Here is a 27,756-nt window from a genome sequence, read left to right as displayed (position 1 = left end):
CAGGGGAGGATGCGTGGGGTGCCAGCACATGTGCCATCTGTCTCCCTCCTTGCTGGCGTCTCCCAGCTTTTGGCCACGTGCAGAAGAGCTGTCATGAGTCTGTTATGGGACATTAAGGCTTTGGGAACAGACAGAATCTGGCTTTCCATCCATGTTGTGCTGGGCACCAGCTGAGTGATGGAGAATGATGGAGTAGTGTCTTAATTTTTCTCTGCCTCAGTTTTCTTGTCTGTAAAATGGGGATGATTTATTCATTTACTCATCCAGCAACTTCTTACTAAGCACCTATAATGCGGTAGGGATCATTCTACGGGCTAAAGATCCGACATGAACAAGGCAAGAAAAGTCCTTATTCTCATAGAGTGGCCATTCTAGTCGGGGGAACTTCAATGATAATGTGATGTTAAATTCTCTGGAGGATGTAAAATAAGGGTGACAGGATGTTTTGAGGAAGTTAGGATGGTGGATGCTGTTTTAGATTGGTCTTTGGGAAAACTGCATCTTGGGTGACATGTAACCAGGGATGTGGAGGAAGTGAAGGAGAGAGAGAGAGGCAGGGGCTATGTAGCATTTCAGAGAGATAGATGACCTGCGTGTGCAAAGGCCCTGAGGTAGGAGTGTGTTTGAGGAATTGCAAGAAAGCCAAGGGTGACTAGAGTGAAGGCCATAAGAGGAAAAGCAGGAGGAGATGAGGTCAGAGAGATTGAAAGAAACCAGGTAATGAAGGAGCATTTAGTCAATGGAAAGAGTCTGAAATTTTTTGTTTTGTTTTGTTTTTGCTTTTTGAGATAGGGTCTCGCTGCGTCACCCAGGCTGGAATGTAATGGCTTGATCATGGCCCACTGCAGCCTCGACATCCTAGACTCAAGCCATCCTCCCATTTAGTCTTCTGAGAAGCTGGGACTATAGTGTGCACCACCATGCCCAGCTAATTTTTAATTTTTTTTTTGTGGAGATGGGGTCTTGCTATGTTACCCAGGCTGGTGTTGAACTCCTGGGCTAAAGCAATCCTCCCTCTTTGGCCTCCCAAAGTGCTGGGAGTACAGGTGTGAGTCACTCTGCCCAGTCCAAGTATGAGATTTTAAAAAAGCTTTTTAATTAAAGTGTAGCATCCATGCAGTAAGTCCACCCCCAGGATGACAAATGCTTACATATGTCTATAGCATGGAACCACCAAGATCGAAGAACATTCCCATCACTCCAGAAGGTTCCCTCTTGCCCATTCCCAGTCATGGCCCCCAGACCTCCAGAATCCCTCTGCTGACTTCTCTTACCAAAGCTTAGTTTTTCCTATTCTAGCATCGTCTATGAACGGCATCATTCAGGATGTGCGTGTGTGTGTGTGTGTGTGTGTGTGTGTGTGTGTGGTGGCTTTTGCGCAGCATGATGTCTGTAGGATCGCTCTGTGGGATCCCTTCACGTTGGAGCTCGTGGCTTTGCCTTAGAGAATGTTCCGTTTTATTCTGAGTGGGATGGGAAGCCGTGGGAGGGTTTTGAGCAGAGGCATGAATGAAGCTAATTTGCATGGTGAAAGGCCCCCCTTTAGTATCTGGGTAGAAGTGCAGGTCCAGGGAGGGTCTTGTTTGCATTTCCTAGGGGACCGGGACAATTGCCACAGATGGGGTTGCTTAAAACAACAAAATTGATTCTCTTTCAGTTGTGGAGGCCAGAAGTCTGAAATCAGGGTGTCGGTGGGTGCTCCCTCCTGGGGCTCCAGGGAAGGATCCTGTCTTTCCTCTTTAATCTTCCAGCGGCCGTCGGTGCTCCCTGGCTTGTGGCAGCATTGCTCCAATCTCTGCCTCTGTCTTCACATGGCCTTCTTTGGTGTCTTCTCCCCTCATAAGGACATGAGTCATTGGATTTAGGGTCCCCCCTCTAATCCAGCATCACCTTATTTTAACTAATTACCATACATCTGTAAAGATCCAATTTCCAAATAAGGTTGCATTTTGAGGTTTTGTGGGGGCCTGGCATTTTGGGGAACACCATTCAACCGACTGCAGGGCTACTGCAATGTCCGGGCAGGAAGCGATGGTGTCTGCGAACAGCGTGGTTGTGGTGGGAGAGGTGGTTGGATTCACATAGAGCATGAGGGCCTGAGCTGACACAATTTGCCTGATCATTGACTTTGGATATAAATGAACGAGAGGAGTCAAATATGACTTTAGGGTTTTGGGCCCAAGCAACTGGAAGAATGGAGTTGCATTTTCCCAAGAGGGTGCAGGCTAGGGTAGGAGAGGGAAATAAACATTCCCTTTTGGATGTGTGAGGCTTAAGATACCTGCAGTACATCCAGGTGGGGCATTGGGGGGGCAGCAGAGACTCTAGTCGGGAGTTTAGGGGCTAGAGAGATAAACCTGAGTGTTTTCAATATAAAGAAAGATGGTGTTTAAAGCCAAGTCAGGGCCAGGCACGGTGGCTCACACCTGTAATCCTAGCACTTTAGGAGGCCGAGGCAGGCAGATCACCTGAGGTCAGGAGTTCAAGACCAGCCTAGATGACATGGCAAAACCCTGTCTCTACTAAAAATACAAAAATTAGCTGGGCATGGTGGTGTGCACCTGTAATCCCAGCTACTCAGGAGACTGAGGCAGGAGAATCACTTGAACCTAGGAGGCAGAGGTTGCAGTGAGCCGAGATTGCACACTGCACTCCAGCCTGGGCGACAGAATGAGATTCTGTCCAGGAAAAAAAAGAAAAAAAAGCCGAGTCAGGGTGGGATCAGCCAGGGGGGCAGCATGGGCAGAAAGGGAGGACTCAGGATAGTCCAGGAACGTGCTGCCATTAGGAGGTTGGGAAGACCATGAGGTTGACGCCTCATCTAACTCACTTCTGTGAATTTTGAGCATTTAAGGACTTCTCAGAAGTTCTTCCCATAGTGCCTGAAATGTAGTGAGAATAGTGAATGCTAGCTCTGTGTGTGTTTGCCTGTTTTTTTTGTTTTTGTTTTTTTTTAAAAGAAAATAAAGTGAAACCACAATCTAGAGTGTTTGTGGGGAAGTGTCCTTGGTGGCTGTGAAAATCTTGTGAAAACTCCTTGATCCTGGACAAAGATGGGCCCTTCTCACGCCAAGCCCTGGGGGCTTCTAGAAAGCACTTCCCCACCCCCAGGCGCCCTGCACTCTGCCCAGAGCTGACATCACCAGGGCAGCCTGTGGCAAGTGCTGGCTCCTAGGACAAAGGCCTGAGTGTGAGCAGCGTGGGGCCCGGCATCTCCCAGCTGCCGCAGCCTCAATCCCCCATCTGTGCCAGGGGTAAACACTGGTGGGGGCCATTCAGCTCAGCTAGAGCTGGGACCTGGGGTCCCCAGAATTCTGCTTTTCCAGGCAGAGCTTATTGTGATCCCTAAGAGGCAGTGGAAGTAGCTCTGAGACTTGGGCCAGCTCTTCGTGCCACGATTTCCCCATGTGTGGTAGGGGACAGTGGTCCATGCTTATTTCCTTAGGCTTTCGGCATGAACTTTCTGTGTATGTGAAGCACAAGGCACAGCGTGTGGCATATGGTGGGCACATGGTATGTGTTCTTATGGTCTTATTTTCACTTGAATATAAGCAGGGAATTTGTTTTGTTGGGCAGCCCCCCAGTGCTTGGAACTGTGCACAGCACACAGCACACAGCACACAATGTGTATTTGTTGAATGAATGAATAAATGATAGGATGGGAATCCCTTTTCCCAAGAGTCTGGATTCATTTCCAGTTTGCCAGGGTGGTGTTGAGGAGGAATGGCTGGATGTGCTGGTGGGTGGTTCCTTCATTAGTTAGTTGGTTAGTTCATTCACTTACACATAATGGGCACATAGTGAGCCTGAGGGACCCAGGACTGTGAAGGGCATGGCAGGGAAACACAGCAGAACTCATGGTTCCTGCCAAACAAAAATGGATTCTTAAGTTGGAGCCTCTCTGAAGGAGAGGGTAGTGCCTGTAATGTGATTGAGAGCCACGTGGAACAAATGGCCACCTATGAAGGCTCTAGGAGGAAGAAGTCCTGGGAATTGAGAGCAGGTTGGGTGGCAGGGATGGCCTTGGTGCATGGGTGGGCTTGGGGTAAGGGCACATGGGCATCATGGTTTCAATCCCAGACTCGGTGTCAACCCGCCTGGCTCTAGGTCCCAGCTCTGTGACTCACTTTTCTGGGATGGTCTTGGAGTAAAAGACTAAACCTCTCACACCCCAGGGATCTAAGCTGTGAGATGAGAATAATCATAGTTTTCAGTTGATAGGGTGGTTGGTGGTTGGGAGCCCTAGAGGCCTGCTGGACACATGATTAGCTCTTGGTCAGTGTTTACGATGGATGATAGCAGTATTATTATTATTATTATTTTTATTGGGGAAGAGAATACATTCCAGAGAAGAGGCATGGAATGAGCCGAGAGAGGCAAGGGGGCTGCAGGGCGGAAGTATTGACATGGAGAACACTGGGTTGATTCATGTGGACAGGAGCTTAGGGCTGAGCGTGGGAGTTAGGGTAACGGTATTCCATTCCTAAGAGAGCTGTACTTTTTAACTCTGCAAGCCAAAATAGAGGTATGCATATGACAGAATCACGTACACTCCTCCCAGCTAAAGAACTAGGACATTTTCAGTAACAGTTGAAGGTTCTTGGTTCACTTTCCAACCCAAAACTCTCCCTCCACAGAGGGAACCCCCACTGGAATTGGGTGCATTCCTTTAACACGCATGTCTTTATATTTGACCTCATACATGCTCTCCATAAACAGCGCATAGTTTTATGTGCCATGTCTTTAAAAGATCTCTGTAAGTGGCTTCATACTGTACATATCCTTCTTTCTTTTGCACAAGAGTACATTTTTGGGGTTCGCCCGTGTTGCTACGTGTGGCCCTGGTTATCTCATTTTAACTGCTGCATAGCTAGCTACCATTGTATAAATCTGCTGCAAACAGACTGAAACAAAAATACAGATGTTTCCATTCTCAGGTGATGGATATTTAGGTCGCGTCCCATTTTTTACTGTTGTAAGCAAGGCATTTTTGAGTCTCCTGGTGTGTATATGTGAAAGCTTCTCTAGACCAGGAATGGGTGAATTTTTCTGTAAAAGGCCAGATAGTCAATATTTTAAGTTTTGCCACTATATGGCCTTTTTTTCCCCAACAACTCAGCTCTGCCGTTGTAGCTTGTAGGGGGCCACAGCCAATGTGATGGATGTGGCTGTGTTTCTAATAAAACTTACCAAAATGGGGAGTAGGCAAGATTTGGCCCAGTAGGGTTTGTGTTGGTTGTAGATGATGCACGTTTTCACTTCTACGGGTCGCTAAATCGCTTGCCAAGTGATTGTAGCTGTGCTCTGAGAGCGTTTCTCATGGTTGAGGGTGGCTATGTCCCTGTGCTATCCTTGGTGGGTTTCATGAAGGTCTCCTGTCCCTTTGCAGAGCTGCATGCTTCTGGGAGGCCGGAAGACCACGGACATCCCTTTGGAAGGCTACCTGTTGTCTCCGATCCAGAGGATCTGCAAGTACCCGCTCCTCCTTAAGGTGAGACTTTCCCGTATTTGAAGTGACAGAAAACTCTTTGGCTTCAGCATAACATAAAATTTGTTAGTTCAAGTATCTGAGAAGTCTAGCAGCAGTGTCAGCTTTGGGCCGGGCTGGATTTAAACCAGGACCCTGCCTCTTTCTCTCTCGTTCACCCTGCTTTCCACCATTCAGGCTTATTTTCAGTGTGGCAGCAGGTGGCTGTGGTTCTCCTGGCCTCACATCCTCTCAAGTTTAAGGTCAGTGGGAAAGAGTGAACCTCTCTACTAAGAGCTGAGGAAAGTCCTGAGATTCATTCTGTCTTTGGCTATCTGCAGCCAGGGGAAGGTCATATGCCAAATGGTTTGGGCCTGAGTCATGCGCTTTGACCTGGACAAATTACATGAAGCCTTTGCATGTACCATTTATCATCCTCCAGTCAGCTTAGACCCGTGCTTTACCCCTGAACCAATCACTATTGCTGTGCTCTGATTAGCTGAGACATGGTCTCACTCCACTCTGATCCAATGACAGTGAGCAGGGCAGTGTTGTGTTCTGATTGGCTGAGACCTGGGTCAGGTGCTGCACTCCTGAACCAATCATTTTGAGCAAGGGAATTCTAATTGGCTCAGACTTGGGTCATGTGCTCCAACCTTGAACCAATCACTAGGTCCCACAGGCCATGAGTGAGGACAGATGAACCCCACGTGACCAAAGTCTGAGCTGTTTGTGGAAGGCAGGGTGAGGGCAGGCATAGGTGTTGGCTGGGCAAATGCAGCCTTCCATACACCTGCTGTTTCCTTCCCTGCCGCCAGCCCTGGCTTTGTCTTGGCTGGGCAAAGCAGGGAAGGTTTGCTGCTTCTGTGGGGATGGAGAAGTCTTGATTCTAGGCTTCAGCCTGGCTGCTGGACAGATCCTGAGCCCAGGGGACGGCTCTTCCGCCTTCCACTGCTCTCAGCCCAGGGTTTCAGCCCTTGGAAATGGCTGAACAAAATGGCTATTGGCCGGAGCCTGTCCTGGCTCTGTCCTGAAGGCAGCTGTGTTTTAGGTTCCCTGTGGGGGGATTAATTTGGCTGGTGGGGCCTCATTCACGCACCTGCTCACAGGGGTTTGTGTATTTTTGCTCCATGAACTGGAAGCAAAAGGGGAGGGGAAGGGTACCAGGGCATTCTTCATCTTGGTTTTCTGCTGGAGAAGGTGGGTGATGCTGGAGCCTCTGAACTGGGCCAGACCCTGGGGCCATCAGCTCTGCCCACGAACACAGGACTTTGCTGTGCGCAGCCGTGGGGGTGGGACGCAGCTCTCCCATGCCTCCTCTGGTCTGCTCCTGCTGTTGATCTCTCCCAGCAATCTCGAAAGGAACTTCAGCACTTGTTGTTGCCATGGCTTCGATCCCTAGATAGGTCTTAGAAATGCTGTAGCTCAGGTCTTCACCTGGTTGTGGAAGAAGCTTCAGGTGAAACTTATAAACTGGTAGCCTGTGGACCAAATCGGGCCTGCAGATGTGCTTTGTGTGATCTGTGTGATGTGTCTTTCGAACTTGGATTAGCTACCAGCATTAAGAGACAGTGTACTGTAGTGGTTAGAGACAGGGTGGGCAAAACTGTGGCCTCTGGGCCAAATATAGCCCATGGCCTGTTTTTATACAGCCTATGAGCTAAGAATGATGTTTACTCTTTTTTTTAAAAGCTTTGTTAAACGAACAAGCAAAACCCCAGAAGAATATGTAGCAGAGAGTGGATGTAGCCAGCAGAGCCTAAAATATTTACCATCTGGCCCTTTACAGCAAAAATGTGCTGACCCCTGGATGAGAGTCAGCCGTTGCAGCCATAAGCAGTCTGGATTTGAATTTCTCTGTCATTTACGAGTGTGTAACCTTGGGCAAGTCACTATCCGTCCCTGTGCCTCAGTTTCTCATTGAAACATAGGGTTCATGTTAATGGTACTTACGGGGTTGTTATGACAAGTAAGCATGGACTTAGTTCTAACGGCAACTCAGCAAGGTAGGCACTGTGATTAGCCCCCTCTTGGAGATGGGGCAGCTGAGGCACAGAGAAAGGAAGTGGCCTTTCCAAGGCCACGTAGTAGATAAGCAGTAGAATCATGATTAGAACCCGGGCATTCTGATTCCAGAGGACCACCCCTAACCATATGGCTCTACTGCCTGCTGAGAAGGATTTTGGGGAGTTAAACTGCCAAAGTGCTGGAGTGTCAGCGATGCTGCCCTTCTCAGTTCCCTAAATGGCGTCTAAGGTCGGTGGCTCTGTGTTTTGAGGCCAGTGTCCTTCTTCTCTGCGTTTCAAAACCTTGAACATCTGACCCATAAGAAGAACCAGCAGCCATGGCCCAGAGCTGAACTGAGGTTTGGTTTCTGGATCTTGCGAAAGTCTGGGTTCCAGCAGGCACTTGGAGCTGCAGCTTCCGTGACATATTTTAACACATGGTGTCGCTGGACCTGTGTGTACGGTGGACTCTAGGCTCGATGTGAGGCCCAGGCATTTCTGAGGCCTGTTCCCATCTCCCCAGGGGCCAGAGTTTGGTCTGGTGGGATTCCTGGGCTCTGGATTCCCAGGAGAACAGAGAGAGCAGGGGCAGAACCGCCCGGCGACCCGTGGAGGAAATGGCCCGCAGGAAAAGCGATGGGGTGGCTGCGGTTTGCTCTCCTGGCCAGACGGCTGTTTACTCTGCCCACTTGCGCTCCGTCGGGGCACGCCTTGTTTCCTTGGTCTCTAGCTGTGTTTATCAAGTAGGAGATTGTGGGGTGGGGGGTGCTGTTTGGGAGAGAACAAGCAGGGCCTTAGACTCCCGTTGGGGCCATGCCTTGCTCCCCGCCTGACAGAACTCCTCAGTGTGTCCGGCCTTTGGCCCCAGAGCGGGAACATTTGCATCAGCAAACACCCGGGGCTCAGGGGAATTCTGTCCCCCCCACCTCCGGAGTTCCTTCTTTCTGTCACATTTTCCAGTGGATTTTCAAAGATGATCCCATGAACTTGAAGCAGCTGAGCTCAACCCCCCAGCCCACCCCCTCTGGCTTCTCCAGATTCAGATGCCCTTGCAGGGGTCCCCGTGGCCCTCTGAGCCCTCTTGTTTGAGCTGAACTCCCACTTGGGGTGGGCACACAATGTTGAGGAGCCTGGGTAGGAAGAGGGAAGAGGCGAGAATGAAAGCCTTTTTGGGAACAGCCCCCAAAAGCTGAACTTGAACGTTGCCTAAGAATAGCTGGAACATTCTATCTCGACTCCTCAGCCGAGGCCCAGGATAGGCAGTTGGCATTTCAGGCTTTGTTGACTTTTCCATTCACGTTGCCAGGGGAATGATTCAGGTTTGGGGTAATGCCCCTGGTGCACAGCTGGCTGGTGCCGGTGGGGGGCCTGACTGTCACTGATCTTCTTAGTTATTTCCTGGTGATGCACACATCTGTGTCGCTGCTCACTGTCCACAGCTGAGAACAAGACAGACCCGGGCCCTGCCCCTTGGAGCTTCCAGACTTGGGCTGGGCCCTGCAGGAGCTTGGAGTGTGTGGCAGGGGACATCCTGGGGCTGACTGCAGGGGACATACCCTGTCTCAGGGGGCAGTTGCCACCTTTGCCCCCAGCTCTCTGGCCGCTTGATCTTGGTCTCCTTTGCTGCTTCCTCATCTCCGGGGCCTCTGAGGAGAGATGGGCCCTGGGCTTAGTCCTCTGGCCGTTTGTTTACCCATCTAGACTTGCTCCTGTGGTGGCCTTATCTACTCTGTGGCCTTTTTTAAAAAAGCATACTCAAGGGTTGTGCAACCATTACCACAATAATTTTAGAACATTTCTGTCACCCCCAAAAGAAACCCCAGACCTATAAACACTTACTGTCCATCCTCCCCTCCTCCAGCCCCTGCCGACCACTTGTCTACTTTCTGCCTCTGTCAGTTCACCTATTCTGGATATTTCCTCCAAGTGGAATCACACAGTGCTGGTCTTTCGTGCCTGGCTGGCTTCACTTAGGCTCATGTCCTCAAGGTTCAGCCACATTGGAGCGTGTCGGTGCCTCCTTCCTTTTTGTGGCTGAATCATCTTCCGTTGTGTGGCTGGACCACGTTGTGTTTATGCACTCATTAGCTGATGGACATTTGGGTCGTTTCCACTTTCTGGCTATTGTGAGTCATGTTGCTCTGAAGGTCCATGTACAGGATTTGTGTGGACATTCCCATGGCCTTAAACTCCGTTTCCACCTGGATGACTTCAGCCCGGACCTCTCCCCTAGACCCTGGGCTTGTCTTCCGGCCCGTTGAGTTTCTGCATTTGAGTGTCTGGCAGGCATCTCTTACCAAGCATACTCATGCCTTTCCCCAGACCACCTCCCCACCACCCCCTCCATCCCCAGCTCAGCAGACAGCCCCTCTGTCCTTCTGGTTGCTCAGGCCAAACCTTGGGATTACATTTGGTGTCCCTCTTTCCCCACCCCCATGTCTCGCCATGAGGAGGTCCTGTCGGCTCTGCTCTCAGACTCTGTCCAGAGTCCAGCTGTTTCCGAATGCCTTCACTTCCCCCATGCTGGGACACTGCCACGGCCCCAGCGGGCCTCCCTGCCTCTGTTCTTGTCCTCTGCAGGCTGCTCCCAGCTCAGCAGCTAAACTGAAGTCAGTTCATGTCACTCCTCCCCGGACTACCCTCCCAGGACTCTCTGCTCACTCCGAGTAAGGTCCAAGTTCTTTGCTGTTGCCATCTGCAGTGTCCTACCGATCTCACCCATGTTCCTCTCTGACCTTGTCATCTTCTCTGCTCAGCCAGGCTTGCTTCCTGAAGTTCTGAACACAACAAGCAGGTTTCTGCCTCAGGGCCTTTGCACCTGCTCTTTCTTCTGCTGGGACATTTTACCCCATGTCTCCTGAGGCTCACTCTTCATCTTTGTCAGGCTTCTGCTGCTCCAGTGCCTCCTGCCCAAGGCCTTCCCTGGCCACCTCTGCGATAGAGGAGCTGCCTCTGCCATTCTCTGTCCCCTTCACCTTGCTTTTATTTTTCTTCATAGCACTGCTCGCTGGCTCACATTCTGTCCTGGGACGCTTGGTGTCCTGATTGATTTTGAGACATCAGCTCCCCAAGGGCAGGGATATGGGCCTGTTTCCTCAGTGCCTGGAATGGTGCCTGCACAGGGTAGATACCCCTGGTCACTTATTGAATGAATGTGGAAAGGCCACCCCTGTCTTCTTGCCAACTGTTTCTGAATCCAGAAATTGGGACTTTTATGTGAAAGTTACTTATGTCCAAGTATCAGCTTGATTCAGAACTTGTTAAACACTGTGGGCCCCAACAGGACACATCCTGGGACCTGTCCATTCGGAACAGCTGCTCTAGTGGGGTTGCATCCAGGGAGGTTTTTTGCAGAGTGGCTGCTTGGGGTACAGCCTTGGGTCTGTGCACGGCCGCTGGTGTCTCCTGCACCTCCCATGTCTGTCTGTGGGTGATGCAGCTGTCACCCAAGTGCAGCGCAAGGACCTTGTCATTCGGCTGTTACCTCTGTCTACTTGGCTGGGAGGAAAGTGGCTGATACTGAGGTCCGCGCTCCTGGGATGGACTGAGTGAGGTCCATTGCCAGGGAGGTGTTGACCTCAATTCTCGGTGAAGGGGGACAACTGGGAGTGACGTGTTTCCCGGAGCATGGACGTATACTACTCATAGCTTTCCAGAAGATTTTAGGTGGCACCAGAGCAGACTTTATGTAGGATGGGTGGAGGGGGAAGGGGAGAAGCCAACATTAAAAAACAGTGACTCACACAGTAGAATACTACTCTCTTAGCAAATCCCTTTCCGTCTTCCTAGTGTCCTCTGAGAGACAGCCACGGTTGGTGCTGCAGTGTTTAGGGTTTTTGAAGCCATTCATTCATTCACCACCTATTTATTGAGCAACTGTTATGTGTCAGGCACTGCTTGAGGTGCTAGAGGTACAAAGTGAACAAAACCAGCTTGAACCCCTGTCCCCTTGGAACGGACATTCTTCTTGGGGGAGATGGTGACAAATGAGTAAGAAATGTGTATGCTTGTTTAGATGGAATATTTGGATGCTGTGGAAAAAATAAATATCAGGTTCAGAAGATCAGTAAGGACCAGGAGTCACTCAGGGGGTTGCAGGTTTAGATAATGTGGTCAGGGAAGGCTGGACTGAGAAGGAAACATTTGAGCAAAGACCTGAAAGAGGTGAAGGAGGAAGTCAAGCAGGTACCTTGGGGAAAATTGTTCCAGAGGGAACAGCCAGTGCAAAGGCCCTGGGGCAGGACTGTTGCTGGTGTGTCTGGGGAACAGTGAGGAGGCCAGGGTGACTGGAAAGGAAGAGGATAGGGAGAGAGCGAGGGAGTAAGGTTAGAGAGGTAATGGAGCCAGGTCAGGTATGGCCTTGTGGGCCATCGTGGGGTCTTTATTTTCCATCTTGGTGAGGTGGGAGCCATGGGAAGGTTCTGAGCAGGGAGGAATGGGATCTGCCTTAGTTCTAATGGGGTCCCTCTGGCTGTGTGTGGAGGATGGACCGTGGGGTGGTCAGGATGGAGTCAGGGAGACCAGAAAGTGCTTGGCTTCAGTGGTTCGGGTAGGAGATGTCTTGACCTGGTGGTGGCAGTGGAGGTGGGTGCATTTCATGAGAGTTGCCTTTTCACATCCTTTGCCCATTTTCTATTGGACAATTGTCCTTTTGATTTCCCAGAGTCCTTCTATTATTCTGGATACTTTGGGTTATCTCTTTGGAGTTTTTGTCTGACTGATGTTATGCAGTGAGCTCCTCATCTGCTGGGGATCGGGCATTGTCACCGTCTTGCTGAGAAAGCACAGGAAGTCAGAGATCTCTTCACTGCAGCCCCCTCTACCCTGACCCCATCCTCCCCCAACCACAGTGCCCACCCCTTCATCCTGTCTCTCGGGCCGAGCACCAACACCTCGCCCACAGCTGCCCCAGAGACTCAACCTGTGTCAGCCTGTGCTTAGGCTCTTTCCTGTGTGGTGAGCACTAACCTCGGGACACCCCTTGTTGGGGAGTTGGGGGGGGGGTCCTGCCATCACCTCTTCCTTTCAAAGCCATGCTCAGCTGCCCCATCTTCGAAGGAGCCTTCCTAGATCACCTTTTGTGGGGTCCAACCTGGATTCTACTTTCTCTTGTACTGTGTGTGGTTAAGAGTGAATTCGGAAGTCCAACTCCACTTCTTAGCTGTGTGACCAAGGGCAAGTTGCTGAACCTCTCTTTGTCTCCATTTTCCCATCTGTAAAATGGGCATGGTAGTTACCTCCCAGGCTTGCTGTGAAGATCAGATGAGACAATGCATGAAAAAACTCATGAAAGCATTTTGCATACTACTGAGTAAATGGTCATGCTTGTTAAATGTTGGTGACTCAAATATTGTAATGGTTTTTATGCTTATTAATCCTAGCTCCTGACCTTATTAGCATTGCCTCTTTGAAATCTGACTTAAACTCTGTGTGCCTCAGTTTTCTCCTGTGAAATAGTGCCCTAGTTATTGGTTATTATAAAGATGAAATGAAAAATATCTGTAAAATGCTGAGATGTGCTTAATATTAGTTATTTTTATTGTTTCAACGTCTGTTTTTTCCAATATTAATATAACTACATTAAGTTTCTTTTGACTAGTGTTTTCCTGAAATATCTTATTTCTCCTTTTGTGGTTGACCTATCTGAATCCTTAGACTTTAGGTGCTTTTTTTGTTAACTCCATAGAGTTCAATTTAAAATCTGATCTGATAATATCTTCTAACAGGAGCGTTTCGTCCACTTATATTTATTGTGTTTATTAATATATTTGAACTTGGTTCTGCCGTCCTTCTTTTTGATTTCTGTTTATCCTCTTTTTTTGATGCTTTTGCGTCTTTCCGTGTTTTATTTTGGATTGTTTTAGTTTCTTTGGCTTAGTTGCTCTTTTTCCTTTATTTATTTTATTTTTATTTATTTTTGCTTCCACTAAGTTGAAATTTATAGCTATCATCACCACTACCACCACCATTACCATCACCATCAATCACCACCATCTCTCACCATTTTACCCTTTTCTCTAGAGAAATGCCTGTGCAGAGCCTGGAAGTGGGAGCAAGAGGTGTAGAACTTCACGGTGAGCCGTGCTAGGGCCTCTTTGAAAGGCTGGATATAGAGCTCCTGAATGTCAGAGCCTGGAGGGTCAGTAGAGACCTACCACCCTAGGGTCACAAACACAGATACCTGCAGGGCACGTGCAGGAAACGAGTGAGTAGGGTGGTTGTAACTTAGCGAGTTGGGTGGGAACTGTGGCAGACTAGAGGACACACATCCCTTCTAAGGAACAGCCACTGCTCAGCCCAGCCAACTGTTACTGTAAGGTGGAAACGCAAGTCCAGGGTGGCCAGAGCTTCTGCTTTGCTGACAGAGGCTGGCGATAACATTTAGCTTGGTCTCATCACTACCTTGCATACCCAAGAGGCATAGGCACAGAAAGGGGAGGCAACTTGTCCAAGGTCACACAGCACATCCTCATCAAAGCCAGAACAGGAACTTCCTGATAGGAACCCTCTTCCCACTTTACCCCCCTTTCCTCTCTGAGTAGAAGAAAGGAGTTTTTAAAACCCACGAGCATTATTTCCTTTCTCCTGCTAATTCCTAATTGGTGGGACTACAGTTTTCCTAGACATGCAGCAGAGGCTGAAATTGTTAAAATTGGAAATACATTTGCATGAAGTCTGCATATGATTTGCATGCATGCAGGGTGTTTGTGGGTTTTTTTTTGCAATGCTGGGGAGCTCTTCACTTCTGGGTTCTCTTGGACTTCCAGATGTTTTTCGCTTCTTGTTTTCTTTTCCTTTTTTTTTTTTTTTAAAGTGGTGGTGGGTATCCTTAGCACCTCTTCATTTGCATTCTGCTGTCACCCTAGGTATGGCCGCAGGGGACTTCAGCACTGTGGGTACAGGAGCAAGCCAGGCTTCCTGAGCTTAGATGGCAGAGCCTTGGGCAGGCCTGTGTGACTGGAGGCAAGTCACTGAGTGCAGGATCAGCCCCTTCCTGGAGTTGGCTGAGGTGTCCCCAGAAAGTTGGTGTTGTTCTGCTTGACCCAGACCCTGTTGGTGACACCACCCTCCTGCCTTTTTCTCTTTGTGGAGAGGACAATATGGCTTTCCAACCCCCACCAACCCCAAGTCACAGAGAATGGTGGGTATTATCACATCTTCCAGTGACAATTGCAGCTTTGTTTTCACACTGTGGGTTTATGGGTTCATTTTCTTATGATTTCGCTTGCCAGTGACTGAAAATCTACTTTATTGTTTTTATGACATTGTTAATTAAACTTACTTTTAAAAAAAGAATAGAAAACAGAAAAGACCAAGGGTAGGTCTGACTTCAGGCATAGCTGCATCCAGGGCTCAGGCGATACTATCCTGACTCCGTCTGTCCATGTCCTGCTGTGTTTCCCTCAGTGCCAGCCTTGTGCTCAGGAGGCTGCTTTCTTACAGTGGCGTCGTTGGTCACCAGCAGCCTCAGGCCTGTGTGTGACCAGTGTACCCACCCAGGGAGAGGAGAGCATGCCTTTCCCAGCGTTTGCGTAGGAAGTCCCAGCCTGAGGCCCACCGGCTCAGCATGGGTCCCACACTCTCCCTGTGTGGCTGGGAGGATGGAAGGTCAGGCTTTAGTCACAGATCCACACTGGGAGCTGGCTGGGGTGACCTCTCCTGGACTCCATGGCCCGAGAGAGGAGCAGGTGGAAGCAGTAGACCTCTGCAGCTCATCCTCCTCTCTCCTTACCACCTCCTCTTCCTCTGAGCCCTTTGTTCTTCCCCCAGTCCTCTCCTGGGCCTTGGGATAAGGCTGAGTGAGCTGGGCCTTCGGTGAAGCTGAGTGAGCCAGTAGGAGCTGGCTCTAGCCACGTTTGTTTGTTGCCCTTGGGTTTGAGGCCCTGCGCCTCAGGCTGCCTCTTACGGCCATGCTGGGAGCTGATGACACAGTTTTGGGGACATGAAGGGGCTGCTCAGAGCGGGCACCTTTGGACATCCTTTGAGTAAATGTGATTGCAGGGGCGAGAGGGAGGTGAGGCATCTCGCGGAAGCCCAGGCTTCTCTGCGCCAACATCCTCTCTTCTAGGAAGCCTTCGCTTGGGGCCCCACTCGCGAAACCACACAGGACTCGAGGGGCGGATGCTGGGGAAGGCCATCAGCCTGGCTCCTGGAGGGGCTAATGCTGCTGGTTCACAGGGTAGCCCTGGCACACCCCTCTCTTCCCTGCACTCAGTTTTTCTAAAGGATCCCCAGGACCTGCCCTACTTAGACACTTTGTGTTCTAAGAGTCTGATTTGGAGGTGTTCATTTCCAGCTATTACTATTTCTAGAGGGGCCTGTAGATGTGGTTGGCATCTGCCAAGTCCCACTTTCTGTCTCTGTGGCCTTGGGCAAGAGGGTTTTAACCTCTCTGTGCCTCAGTTTCCTTATATATAGAGTGGGATGATAATAGTACCCACCTCACTGGGATGATTCGAGGATGAAATGACTTAATACACTTAAATTTCGAGCAGTGCTTGGTGCACAGTAAGTACTTAGTAGATGCTAGCTATTAGGACTATTACCACGACTTCTATTTTCACTATTATTCCTACTATGCAGAAATCATAAGAAATAGCCACTATTACCACAGACATAATGACGATGATGATAAATATTGTGTCCTTATTGGGTACCAAGACTTTTACATTCATCACCCCATTGGATCCTTACATTAGCCTTAGGGGGTGAGTCTTAGCCTCCTTCACAGATGCACACACTTGGCTTTAGAGAGGTGAGGCCACTTGTGCAAGGCCCCACAGCTGAGATGTGGTGGAGGCGAAGTAGAGACCATGCCTCCCTTTTCCCAGCACCCATTCTCTTGACCACAGAGCTCTCCAGTTTCATCATCTGATAATGGGTTTGAGCTAGAATAAGGCATTAGTGGGCCTGAATCTATCATTGATACTTCTATTGATGGGGAACTTACTACCTTACAAGGTAGCCCTCTCTCTTGCGAGAAAGCTCCAAGTGGTGTAAGAATGGATTAATTCATTCAAACAGTGGTCTCTTGCACTGGTCCCATTGGACTCCTTGAGGTCTTACAGATTCACCGGGCCTCTTAGTCATGTAGTTCTCCCAAGACGCTTAGCAAGCAAGCAAGCAAGCACCTCTTGGGTTCCTTCCAGAAATACTCTTCTCTGGGCCAAACCCTGGAAGTTCATGTATCTGTTCCACTTTGGATATGGATTCCAGGGTTTTCAGTACCATAGTATGTCTCCTTTGAATGTGACTCTATTCTGATTTATTAGTACAGTCTGTTCAGTTCTGAATTGGGCAGGAGCCTTCTCACCTCCCTCCTTTCGCATGTTAGACCTTTGTTAGTATCGCTCAAGCTCTCGTTGGCTTTGAAGATACCCACATTTTATGCCTGTCTGAGACCAGCTGGGACACCTTCGAGTTTCCATATCTGTGCACTCCCTCTGAGACTGTGAAGCAGTAGGAACTTTTTCAAATAAGAGATGGAAAAACTAGCCCAAGCTGACTTACACAACATATATATGTAAAAAATAAATAGGCTCACATAACTGACAAGCCATGGATAGATGGCTTCAGGTATGGCTGGATCATGGTGTCTCAAGGGAATTGCCCAACTGCTTTCCTAAGCTGCTGCAGCATTTTATATTTTTACCAGCAATGTAGGAGGGCTCTATTTTTTTCATATCTCCACCAACAGTTGTTATTCATGTTTTGGATTATAGCTATTCCAGTAGATGTGAAGTGGTATCTCATTTTGGTTTTGTTTTGCATTTTCCCACATGATGTTGAACATCTTTTCATCTGCTTATTGGACATTTGTGTATCTTCTTTGGAGAAATGTCTGTTCAAGTCCTATGCCTGTTTTTTACTTGTATTATTTATCTTTTTGTTGTTAAGTTGTAAGGGTTCTTTACATATTCTGGGTACAAGTTCCTCATCAGATGTGTAATTGATACTATTTTCCTCATTAGGCAGATTGTCTTTTCCCTTCCTTTTAAATTTTATTTATTTTTTGGCTTTCACGTTGGGGTAGTGTCATTTGAAGCACAGAAGTTTTAAATTGTGGTGAAATTCACGTTATCTATTTTTTTTAAGTTGCTTGTGCATTTGGTCATATCTAAGAGCACTTCGCCTAACTTAAGGTCACAAGGGGTTTACTCCTGTGTTTTCTCTGACAGTTTTATAGTTTTAGTTCTTACATTTAGGTCTGTGATCCATTTTGAGTCCATTTTTGTGTGTGGCATGAGGAAGGGGCCAGCCTCATTTTGTTGCACATGGATATTCAGTTGCATCATTTGTTGAAAAGACAGTTCTTTTGTCCATTTAATTGCCTTGGCATCCTTGTGGAAAATTAACTGACCATAAATGTAAGGATTTATTTCTGGACTCTCAATTTTTTTTGATATGCATTGATTTTTACTTTTGATTTTCTTTTTTTTTTTTTTTTTTTATAGTTCTGGGATACATGTGCAGAATGTGCAGCTTTGTTACATATGTCTACATGTGCCATGGTGGTTTGCTGCACCTATCAACCTATCTCTCTCTCTCTTTTTTTTTTTTAAAAGAGATAATAGAGACAGGTTCGTTCTGTCACTCAGGCTGGAGTGCAGTGGCCCGATTATAACTCACTGTAACCTGGAGCTCCTGGGCCCAAGTGATCCTCCCACCTCAGCCTTCCAAAAGCTGGAACTACAGGTGCACATCACTGTGTCTGGCTAAGTTTTTAAAATTTTTTGGTAAAGATGGTGTCCTTCTGTGTTGCCCAGGCTGGTCTTGAACTGCTGGCCACCGCCTACAATTCTTTTCCATTGATCTCTAGGCCTATCTTTATACAGTACTATGTTGCCTCTTTTTTTATGATGGAGTCTCACTCTGTTGCCCAGGCTGGAGTGCAGGGGCTTAATCTTGGCTCACTGCAACCTCTGCCTCCCGGGTTCAAGCGATTCTCCTGCCTCAGCCTCCCAAGTAGCTGAGATTACAGGTGTGCACCACCATGCCTGGCTAATTTTTATATTTTTAGTAGAGATGGGGTTTTGCCATGTTGGCTAGGCTGGTCTTGAAGTCCTTACCTCAGGTGATCCGCCCGCCTTGGCTTCCCAAAGTGCTGGGATCACAGGCGTGAGCCACCATGCCTGGCTTGTGTTATTTCTTCTTTTTTCTTTTTTTTAAGATGGAGTCTTGCTCTGTCACCCAGGCTGGAGTGCAGTGGCGCAATCTTGGCTCACCGCAACCTTTGGCTCACTGCAACCTCCGCCTCCCAGGTTCAACTGATTCTCCTCCCTCAGCCTCCCAAGTAGCTGGGACTACAGGCACGTGCCGCCACGCCCGGCTAATTTTTGTATTTTTAATAGAGACGGGGTTTCACCATGCTGGCCAGGCTGGTCTCGAACTCCTGACCTCGTGATCTGCCTGCCTGGGCCTCCCAAAGTGTTGAGATTACAGGCGTGAGCCACTGTGGCCGTTACTTCTTGAGATCTTGAGGAGTGTGCCGGGAGAGGAAACAGCAAGTCCAAAGGCCTGGAGGCAGGAATGGGCCCTCATTTTTTGGAGCTCCACAGAGTGGAGCCAACATGCCCCGTGAACCAAGACACCAAAGCTAACACTTCCCCTGCGGTTTTGGTCCAGCTATGGGCCTGGCCAGGTCTTGCTTGGTTTCAATTCCCTACCCCTACCACTGACCTAGAGCAAGAATAGAGATAGAGGCGGACAGATAGAAAAGGGAAGCAGCCTTTTTTTCACTTTTACTAACTACTGGGTGTTGGCAGCCCCACAGGGAACCACTGGAGGAGGGTCACTGAGATTCCAACTTCCAGGGTTTGGGAGGAGCAGATATGGTGGCAGTGCCCATCAGAGGGGTGCCATGGACCCATCAGGTTTTAGCTTCAAGAATAAAAGTGGTGAGAGCTTCCTATTTGTTGGGGGAGGTGGGAAGAGGCCCAGGGCCTCAGGCTGGAGAATCACAGAATAGTGATTCAGAAATGTGAGCTCTGGAGCTGGACCGTGTAGCCGCTTAGCTGTCCGTGCCCTTGGGTAGGGGACCTTGCCTCTGTGTGAGCCTCAACTTTCTCATCTGTCAAGTGGGGATAGTAAAAGCACCTGCCTGCTAGGGCCATTGGGAGGCAAAGTAATTTCACTGATGGCCAAGCTTAACAGAGCCAGCAGAAGGAAGAACACAGTTTCATGGTGAATTTATCCCAAGTGCCACAACACGGTGGGGTCTTTTGTAATAGGATATGTTTTAGCTGCAGTGACATAGCTCTGAAACAAGAGTGGCTTAAACAACGTCTAAGCTTATTTCTGTCAAGGCAGTCCAGGGCAGCATGGTGGCTCCATGCTGACAGCACCAAGTTCTGCCAACCCTGAGGTGTGCCCCTCACCACCAGGGTTTCAGGTGCTCGCACCATGCCCACATTCCAGCCAAGGAAGAGGGAAAGGAGAAGGGAAACTGCACCCGGCACTTCTGCTCGCGCCCCATCCATGAGAACCTTGTGTCCAGGCAGACTGGGCGTGTGGCCTTTATTCCAGGTGCCCTCATGCTCAGCTAAGAATCAGTTCTGTTGCTTTTAACAAAGGGCCAGCAAACTTTTCCATTAAAGGATCAGATAGTAAATAGTTTAGGCCTTGGGGTCCATACAATCTGTCATTGTAGTGTAAAAGCAACCACTGACAATATATCAGTGAAATGAGGATACTTGGTTCCGACAAAACTTTTTTTTACAAAAACGGGTGATGGGTTGGACTCAGTCCTTGGACTGTCATTTGACCCCTGCTTTGGATGAAAGGGATGATGGGTAGAACCTGGGGCGGGGGTCTCACTAACTGGCAGCCTCTGTCCCTGCCCACCGGGAGCTGACTGGCCACATTCACTCCCTGGCCTCGGCTGGCCTCACAAAGGTCCAGATGCCAAAAACCACTTCAGGGAACCTGGGACTGGGGTAGCTTTGCAGGATCGAATGGAATTACTGAATATGGTCATAAGATCACGGTCTTATATTGTAACTTTGTGGACATGCCTACAAGCAGGCTGATGGCTTAGGGGAGTGTCTGCCGTCATCTGTGTACAACAGAGAGCCCAACATGGGGCCAGGTACACTGGAGCCTGGCTGAGTGGATACATGCATGCATGGAGTGAATGAGGCACAGAGCTTCTGTGCCACCCTCTGCTCTTGCCTGGACTTTGGCAGTAGCCATAACTGGTCTTCCCACTTTATATTCACTGCACATTCCATCCCGTGCATCCTCCTGTCAGCAGCCAGGGAGGTCCTTTAAAGGGTGAGAAGGTGGTGTCAGGCCTCTGCTCATACCCCCATCACCTCCCCATGGCTCTTGGGAGGAAACCCAAACACCCCACTGCGGCCTCATGTGATCTGGCCTTGGCATGCTTGTCTGAATCTGTGGTCCATCCCTCTCGCTCACTTGCTCTGCTGCAGCTCCGCTGGCCTCCCTGCTGCTTCTCGCTGCCTCAGGGCCTTTGCACGTGCTCTTCTCCTTCCTGGAGTGCTGTTCCTGCAGACGCAGTGTGGCCCGTGGCCTCACCTCATTCAAGCTTCGCTCGCAAGCCTGTCTTTCCAGAGAGACCTTCTCAGACCACGGCACTTCCCTCACTCATTGTCCCTTTAATTCTATAAATTATATATTTATTTGAGAGGAAAGTATTTGTACTTAACTGTCTGAAAAGTCGTAAATAGCACGGGGATTTAGAGCACAAACTCTGGAGTCAGACTGGGTGGGCTCAGATGTGCTGTGTGACCTTGGACAAACGGTCTGACCTCTCTGTGCCTCAGGTCTTGCATCTGCCAATCGAGAAGAATAATGGTGCCTACCTGATAGAGAGTTGACATGAGGATCAAATGAGCTTGACAGGAGCTTGAGGGCTTGCTGAGTATTAGCTGTTGTTACTGTTGGTAGTAGTAATAGTCATTACCTTGTTGACCGGTCTACTCTTGACCATGAGCTCCCAGAGGACCATCTTGTTCTTTGCCCAGCCTCCACAGCTCAGGCTCACACCAGTTGCTCAGCCAGTATTTGCTGAGTGAAGAATGAGTCGAAATACACTCCGCATTAGCAGAGCTGGCCCTGGGTGCCCTGCCTGCCTTTGTGTTGCTTCCTCCTGAAGCCTTCTGGGCTTGCTTCTCTTTTGATTGATCACCAGCATTTTCAGGATATGGTGCTGCTCTCTGGGCCTTTCTCAAGCCCCCAGGGAAGTGCCTTTCCAGCCTCATTGCTGGGGCCTCCAGAGGAAGAGCAGGGCTCCATCTCCCTTCTTTTGCATCCTTTGGGCACATTGCCTGGGTGCGTGGCAAGAGCTCAGCAAAGTCCCAGGGGCCTGATGATGCAGACCAGCTGGGCCTTGGGAATCTTAGGACCTGGTCTTCAGAAAATAGGATGTTTGTTTTCGGACAGGGAAGAAAATAAGTGAATGAAGAAGGGATGTGTTTGAAGTTGGTTTACTCCAGGGAGTGCTCAGAACAATACCCTTTTGTGGCAAATTGCTGCTCACAGTTACAGCTAGCGTGTTGTCATACAGCAAGGAGAATGCTAATGGCTCGCATATATTGAGTGCTTACTATATATGTACTTGGTGCTTTTCCTACAGTACCTCATTTATTGCTTACCACAACCATGAGCAGCACCAGGCAGCCTGGGTTCAAATCCCAGTTCCTCCTTGTACTTCTTCGAGGCCTTAGGCTTTCTTGCTGTGCCTCAGTCCGCCCATCTGTTAAATGGTCTAATAACAGAAGCCACCTTAAAACCGTGGGGCGAAGGCTCAGTAGACATTAATTGCTGTCATCGTCATCACCATCATCCTCATCATCACAGGTTTGCAGATGATGAAGCCGAGGCCCGGGATAGAGAGGGGACTGGCCCAAGGTCACCCAGACAGTGAGGGGCAGAGTCAGCCCTTGAACCTACATTTGTGCTCGTAACTACGATGCAAGAGTGTCACATCTGCGGGGATGTTATCTGGATCGTCGAGGGAGCAGAGAGCTAGGGCATAGGGGAGAGACTGGAGCTATTGGGCGTGTTTCTGGGTCAGATGATTAAAGAAAATTATCTCTGCCAGCACAGTTCGGGATGAAAGACTGACGGGGGCGGTTGGGTGATTTGGGTAATTTGGCCTGAAAAATCTTCCTTGATATCTCAAGTCCCAGCTGATCCCTTCCTCCTCAGTTCCTCTCCCATCACATTTACTGGCTGGAATGTTCGATTAAGACTGGCCTGGCCTTTGCAATGTCCCAGCCTGCGTCTGAGTTGAGGGGTGAGCTGGCAGTGGGAAACGGTGGGGGCAGGGGGCTTCTCATGGATTAAGAGCCACTTCATTTGCTCAGTCCCATATCCTTGTGAAGGTGGGGTATTTTTTATGCCCATCTTATGATAAGAAAACCGGGCCTGGGGAGGAGCAGTGTTGGGGCCGCCTCTGTGACCGCGGATCTCTCTGTTTTTCTCTCTCTCGTTTATTCCACCCCAGACACACTGCCTCCTTTCTGTTCCTCATTACATACCAGACATGTGCCCGCCTCAGACCCTTCGCACCACGGTGCCCCCTGCCCGGCAGGCTCTCCCCTCGGGTTTTTGCAGGGCTCTCTCTCTTGCTCTGTCCAGGGCCTCTGCTCAAACATCACCTCCAGAGAGAGGCCTCCCCTGACCTCCTTGTGAAACAATGCTTCCCTCTCCCTCATTCTGATTTGTCTTTCTAGTGTTTACCACTGCTTGACATTGGATTCCATACCTGAGTTTTCTTTGCTTTGGCTCATCTCCTTTACTAGAATGTAATGTCCACCAGGCGAGGAGTTTTTGTCTGTTTTCTTGGGTTCAGCTCTGGCCTGGGTCTCCTCTGGATTGATTGATGTCTTGCTTTCTTCTCCCCACCTCTATTCTACCCCAGGAGCTGGCCAAGAGGACTCCCGGCAAGCACCCAGACCACCCCGCGGTCCAGAGTGCCCTGCAGGCCATGAAGACCGTTTGCTCCAACATCAATGAGACCAAGCGGCAGATGGAGAAGCTGGAAGCCCTGGAGCAGCTGCAGTCCCACATCGAAGGCTGGGAGGTGTGTACAGGACAGGAGGGGGCTTCCTGGGCCGCAGGGGGCCAGGAGGTGCACAGGTGCAGTCATGAACTGAGGCCTGGGCACCTGTCAGTCTGCAATGTATTTTGTTTGGCCTACAGTGTTTGCAAAAGATTGCTTAATTATTTTTCAATTAAATCCAAATACAAATTTGCATTTCAAGTTTCTCTTAAAAACTTGGTGACACTGGGCCCCTATATCTCATGGAAATAGTCACTGGAGCCTCTAGTTTCCTTCAGTCCCCACCACCCCCTGTTATCTCCCCACCCCTTCTCTTTCATGCATTGCCTGGTATGTGGAGGCCTTTGAGCTGTTGATGCCAACGTCAAGGGTCGGGTTCTAGTGTCCACTCCAGGACAGAATTCTGGCTTTGACACTCCTTTGCTGGGTGACTTTAGGCAAATGTCATCACTTCTCTGAACTTCAGTATCCTCATCTGTACCTGGTACATAGTAGGTACTCAATAAATGGTAGCTGTTAGTATTACTATCATGATTATTAGGGGATGGGGTTCTTGAGATCATTGGATTTAAGCCCCCTTGCCTTCCTTAGATTATTAGAGGTTTCCTGTGAATCCGTAGAAGGAAATGGGAAAATATGAATAAATGAAAAAAATCCATATCAGAGTAAATACAGCTGGAACAGGAGATTAAGAGGGAAGATGAAAGTCTCTTGGGCAGAGATTGTTACGTGAATCATATGCCGTAGGCCCTTTGGATTTTCTGGCCTTTGGAGTCACTTGCCATATTTGAGATTTCTAGTTCTTTTCTCCGTGCTGGGGAATCCTAAATGTGAGGCTGTATTGCTGTGAGGTTACGGGTTTGGCTGCAGAGAGGAGAGGGGCTGCATTCAGGGAGGGGTGGATATTGTGGATTGGTCAATCCACTTGCCATGTCCCCTGCGCTCTTTCTGCTGGGCCTTCCTGCCCAGCCGAGGCTGGAGAGTGAAGAGCTCTATTTCCCGGCTTCAGTTTGGGATATGATTTGGGGTCTGGCCAAGATCAGATCCAGCTGCTTGAGATTTGGAAGGTGGAAGTGGGGTGGAGGCCACCCCTTGTGCTATTTTTGCAGCAAAGCACAGCCATGGTTGTGTTTGGCTTTCCGTGGTAACGTTAGAAGAGGGCCCGGGCGCCAGCTTCCTGTGCGTCAGATGCATGGCCTAGGCTTTCCTTTTTTATTGTTGGTGGGGTAGCAGCCATGGGATGGCTTTGCAGTTAACAGTTGAGGCAACAACTACTGAATCCTTGATGCCACCTGAGGAGCCTTTTCCTGGAGCCTGAGCTTGGACAGGTGATGTTCTGATTCTCCTTTCCCACCTGGGGCAGGGGCAGTGGCTCCCCTGGTGGGTGAGTTCTGCATTGTGGCTGGTTTCCTGGGGCCCTCGGCCTGGATTCCTGGCTCCTCTAGCCCCTTCAGTGAATAAGTAAAGCCCCTCATTCCTTTTTGCTTAAAAGTACGTGGCTTGGTTTCTGTTTCCTGCATCTGAAAGTTGCCTGATCCTCAGGTGCGTCAGTTAGGATGCATCCTCGAAGACTCTCATCTCAGCCTTGTGATGTCAGAGCTCTGATTTGGTCTCTGGTGAGCCTCTTCTTTCTCTCATGCTTCCATGAAGGCGGCAGCTCCAGGCACCATGTGTTCAAAACCGGAGGAGACAGGGGCATGGCCAGGGTAGTTAGTGGGGAGATCTCTTCCCTGGTGGAGGAAAACCTTTTCTAGAAGCCCCATACAGGTGTCCCCTTTCATTGCATTGGCCAGAAATGGGTCACATGGCCACTTTGAACTTCAAGAGCAAATAGAGGTGACTAATTTAAACATCTGTCTATATGGGTTTTGAGTTTCCTGGAAGCCAAGGTGAAAAGAGCAACATACATAAGTTACCTAATATTGTCAGAAAAGGAAGAAGCAGAGCAGTTCTTCTGGGAGACAGAGAGTTTCCTGGCACTCAGTTGGAAAAGAAATTTCTCACATGGGCCCCAAAGGAGAGGGTATTGAGCAAGCTCCTCAGCAGCTGCAGCAGAAGTGATTTCCAGATGCCTTTTTTCTGGTAAGGGCCTAGGCAAATGGAAACCAAGGGTCTCTAAAACCCTTTATGACCCTAAACATGTACAGTTTGAGAACTCAGTGGCCCTCAGTGGCCAGTGTTGCTGGATGCAATAGGAAATAAAGTGCCTTAAAATAAGAATTGTTGGCAGTTATTTAGTACCTGTTACAAGCTTCCAACCCTACAAGGGAGGTGCTATTATCCCCATTTTACAGATGAGGCAGCTGAGGCACAGGGACTTGGTTTTGAGGCCCAGCCCTGTAACTTATAGACTGCCCTGTCTCGAGTAAGTTTGCCCTGCCTCGAGTAAGTTTGTCCTGCCTGGTGTGCCTTATTTTCTCCTATTTGTTTAATTTTAGTGATAATATCTCTGAAGTTATTTTTTTGGTTTCATTTGGAAGATAAAGTGAGGTGTGGAATATGAATGTCCTTTGAAAAACGTGAAATTGTTTTCTATGAAGTAGAAAGGTTTTTAAAATGCAGTTTGTTCCTCAAGGTGACTTGTGAAAATAATACGTTCTAGCTAGAAAAAATGACGTCTAATAGTGGAGTTGCTTCCATGCTATCTGTTAGTAGTTACAGTCTCTGAGGACAGCATGCCTTAGGGGGTAGTTCATGTTAATGATGCGATTGCACATCTTTATTTGACATATTCTTTTGATCCTTTCCCATCTTTCTGTGTGACCTCTTGCTGATCTGATCAGATAGCTGTCATCTCTCTCTTGAAAGATGTCTGACAAGGGGCTTGTTTTTGGAGCAAGAGGAGTCTTGTTTTGGCCACTTTCTTGCTGTGTGCTTGAGGTTGCATCATTCATGAATTTGATCTCCCATATGTGTGTTTTTTACCCCCTGATCCTTTGTGAGCCACTGTTTGTCGTGAGACTGGTTTAGATAAAACCAGATAAGTGAATCCACGAATCCATTTTGCTGAGCACAAGGAAATGGCAGTGTGTCACAATACCTTGCAAGTGAGTGAATGAGACAACCCCCTCCGTGGGGAGAGATTCCTTTGCCTCAGTTTCCTCATCTGCGAAGTCAGGATCATGGGAGTACCCCCGTCATGGGTCACTTGAGGACGGGGGAGTTGATGCTTACAGAGTCCTCGGCAGTGCCTGGCTCAGAGAAAACGCCCAATACATGTCAGGAGGAGCCCTGGCAGCAAAGTGGGATCTCTTTATTTATTTATTTTTTTAGATGGAAAAAGTATCCAAGAGCTTTGACTGGAACTTGTGCCCAGCGTGGGCTGCGCCTCCTCAGAGGCACACTCCAGATGCAGCCGCATGGACTTCCATGTGAAGCTCACAGTGATAAAAAAGGAAATGTGTACTCTTAAGAAGAAAGAAACAAGCCTGGCGCGGTGGCTCACACCTGTAATCCTAGCACTGTGGGAGGCCGAGGCAGGTGGATCACCTGAGGCCAGGAGTTTGAGACCAGCCTGGCCAACACGGTGAAACCCCTTCTCTATTAAACATACAAAAATTAGCCAGGTGTGGTGGAGCATGCCTGTAATCCCAGTTACTCGGGAGACTGCGGCAGGAGAATCGCTTGAACCTGGGAGGTGGTTGCAGTGAGCTGAGATCACACCACTGCACTCCAGCCTGGTCGACAGAGCTAGACTCCATCAAAAAAAAAGAGAGGGAGGGAGGAAGGAAGGAAGGAAAGGAAGGAAGGAAAGGAAGGAAGGAAGGCACTCCATTTTCTGGCTCTGGCTCTGGCTCTGGCAGCCCTGGTTTAAGAGATGATCAACTGCTCACTCGCCCTCACCCACAAGGGGAGAGAAGGAAACAGGAGTGAGGAAACAAAATCAATACAAAAGCTCTCATATTTTTTTCCTACCCTCCCTGGAGTGCTTTGGGCTCCCAGTGGGACATGGTCTCTCCCCTTGGAGACTCCTGCTCTAGACTATCGATTGCAAAGAAAAATCTTCAGGTTGTCTTCGAAGAGCGGCCTGAGTTAGAGGTGAGCAGGTCGGGGGAGTGGAGGCTGCTTGTCTGGGTTCAAGTTCCACCTCACTGCCTTACCACCTATGTGACCATGAACAAGTCACTTCACCACGCTGTGCCTCGGTCTCCTCATCTGTAAAATGAGAATTGTCCTGAGGATTAGCTGAGTTTGTACAAGATATTTAGAACAGTGCGTGGCATGTGGCCGCCCCTACGCATGTATTGGCTTTGAGT

The 27,756-nt window shown here is 49.0% G+C and overlaps 1 protein-coding gene across 4 annotated transcripts in view, besides 17 other annotated features; it reads left to right on the top strand.

Moving 5' to 3' along the window:
* Positions 1–27,756, top strand: part of PREX1 (phosphatidylinositol-3,4,5-trisphosphate dependent Rac exchange factor 1) — a 263,934-nt gene that overhangs the window by 156,405 nt on the left and 79,773 nt on the right. For all 4 annotated transcript variants that reach the window (XM_047440333.1, NM_020820.4, XM_047440332.1 and 1 more), the window contains 2 exons: positions 5,390–5,491; positions 23,360–23,521. In XM_047440333.1, coding sequence (XP_047296289.1) covers positions 5,396–5,491; positions 23,360–23,521 — 258 coding nt within the window. In that variant the 5' untranslated portion in view covers positions 5,390–5,395. The remainder of the gene's footprint in view (positions 1–5,389; positions 5,492–23,359; positions 23,522–27,756) is intronic.
* Positions 8,166–8,336: an enhancer, noted in NCBI's record as "experimental_60619 CRE fragment used in MPRA reporter constructs". NCBI's record gives its function as "activates a minimal promoter by MPRAs in K562 erythroleukemia cells, with activity observed for the non-introgressed 20:47340068 or rs138858092 variant allele {active_cell/tissue: K562}" and the evidence as "EXISTENCE:reporter gene assay evidence [ECO:0000049][PMID:34662402]".
* Positions 8,166–9,116: a biological region, named in NCBI's record as "H3K27ac-H3K4me1 hESC enhancer GRCh37_chr20:47339203-47340102".
* Positions 8,216–9,116: an enhancer, noted in NCBI's record as "H3K27ac-H3K4me1 hESC enhancer chr20:47339203-47340102 (GRCh37/hg19 assembly coordinates)". NCBI's record gives its function as "activates a minimal SCP1, AML or CMV promoter by ChIP-STARR-seq in naive H9 embryonic stem cells {active_cell/tissue: H9 hESC(naive)}" and the evidence as "EXISTENCE:reporter gene assay evidence [ECO:0000049][PMID:30033119]".
* Position 8,251: a transcriptional cis regulatory region, noted in NCBI's record as "Neanderthal adaptively introgressed variant 20:47340068 (GRCh37/hg19 assembly coordinates) or rs138858092 in the experimental_60619 CRE". NCBI's record gives its function as "modulates activity of the experimental_60619 enhancer by MPRAs in K562 erythroleukemia cells {active_cell/tissue: K562}" and the evidence as "EXISTENCE:reporter gene assay evidence [ECO:0000049][PMID:34662402]".
* Positions 9,019–9,098: an enhancer, noted in NCBI's record as "active region_18035". NCBI's record gives its function as "activates an Ori minimal core promoter by ATAC-STARR-seq in GM12878 lymphoblastoid cells {active_cell/tissue: GM12878}" and the evidence as "EXISTENCE:reporter gene assay evidence [ECO:0000049][PMID:35858748]".
* Positions 9,139–9,208: an enhancer, noted in NCBI's record as "active region_18034". NCBI's record gives its function as "activates an Ori minimal core promoter by ATAC-STARR-seq in GM12878 lymphoblastoid cells {active_cell/tissue: GM12878}" and the evidence as "EXISTENCE:reporter gene assay evidence [ECO:0000049][PMID:35858748]".
* Positions 9,299–9,348: an enhancer, noted in NCBI's record as "active region_18033". NCBI's record gives its function as "activates an Ori minimal core promoter by ATAC-STARR-seq in GM12878 lymphoblastoid cells {active_cell/tissue: GM12878}" and the evidence as "EXISTENCE:reporter gene assay evidence [ECO:0000049][PMID:35858748]".
* Positions 10,169–10,278: an enhancer, noted in NCBI's record as "active region_18032". NCBI's record gives its function as "activates an Ori minimal core promoter by ATAC-STARR-seq in GM12878 lymphoblastoid cells {active_cell/tissue: GM12878}" and the evidence as "EXISTENCE:reporter gene assay evidence [ECO:0000049][PMID:35858748]".
* Positions 10,751–10,850: an enhancer, noted in NCBI's record as "active region_18031". NCBI's record gives its function as "activates an Ori minimal core promoter by ATAC-STARR-seq in GM12878 lymphoblastoid cells {active_cell/tissue: GM12878}" and the evidence as "EXISTENCE:reporter gene assay evidence [ECO:0000049][PMID:35858748]".
* Positions 11,992–12,261: an enhancer, noted in NCBI's record as "active region_18030". NCBI's record gives its function as "activates an Ori minimal core promoter by ATAC-STARR-seq in GM12878 lymphoblastoid cells {active_cell/tissue: GM12878}" and the evidence as "EXISTENCE:reporter gene assay evidence [ECO:0000049][PMID:35858748]".
* Positions 12,452–12,631: an enhancer, noted in NCBI's record as "active region_18029". NCBI's record gives its function as "activates an Ori minimal core promoter by ATAC-STARR-seq in GM12878 lymphoblastoid cells {active_cell/tissue: GM12878}" and the evidence as "EXISTENCE:reporter gene assay evidence [ECO:0000049][PMID:35858748]".
* Positions 13,638–13,697: a silencer, noted in NCBI's record as "silent region_12985". NCBI's record gives its function as "represses an Ori minimal core promoter by ATAC-STARR-seq in GM12878 lymphoblastoid cells {active_cell/tissue: GM12878}" and the evidence as "EXISTENCE:reporter gene assay evidence [ECO:0000049][PMID:35858748]".
* Positions 14,598–14,657: an enhancer, noted in NCBI's record as "active region_18028". NCBI's record gives its function as "activates an Ori minimal core promoter by ATAC-STARR-seq in GM12878 lymphoblastoid cells {active_cell/tissue: GM12878}" and the evidence as "EXISTENCE:reporter gene assay evidence [ECO:0000049][PMID:35858748]".
* Positions 15,493–15,702: an enhancer, noted in NCBI's record as "active region_18027". NCBI's record gives its function as "activates an Ori minimal core promoter by ATAC-STARR-seq in GM12878 lymphoblastoid cells {active_cell/tissue: GM12878}" and the evidence as "EXISTENCE:reporter gene assay evidence [ECO:0000049][PMID:35858748]".
* Positions 18,789–18,838: an enhancer, noted in NCBI's record as "active region_18026". NCBI's record gives its function as "activates an Ori minimal core promoter by ATAC-STARR-seq in GM12878 lymphoblastoid cells {active_cell/tissue: GM12878}" and the evidence as "EXISTENCE:reporter gene assay evidence [ECO:0000049][PMID:35858748]".
* Positions 18,879–18,988: an enhancer, noted in NCBI's record as "active region_18025". NCBI's record gives its function as "activates an Ori minimal core promoter by ATAC-STARR-seq in GM12878 lymphoblastoid cells {active_cell/tissue: GM12878}" and the evidence as "EXISTENCE:reporter gene assay evidence [ECO:0000049][PMID:35858748]".
* Positions 23,966–24,135: an enhancer, noted in NCBI's record as "experimental_60606 CRE fragment used in MPRA reporter constructs". NCBI's record gives its function as "activates a minimal promoter by MPRAs in K562 erythroleukemia cells, with activity observed for both the introgressed and non-introgressed 20:47324269 variant alleles {active_cell/tissue: K562}" and the evidence as "EXISTENCE:reporter gene assay evidence [ECO:0000049][PMID:34662402]".

The sequence above is a fragment of the Homo sapiens genome, chromosome 20 (genome assembly GCF_000001405.40).
Source record: "Homo sapiens chromosome 20, GRCh38.p14 Primary Assembly".
NCBI lineage: Eukaryota > Metazoa > Chordata > Mammalia > Primates > Hominidae > Homo > Homo sapiens.
This window is presented reverse-complemented; position numbering and strand designations above follow the sequence as displayed.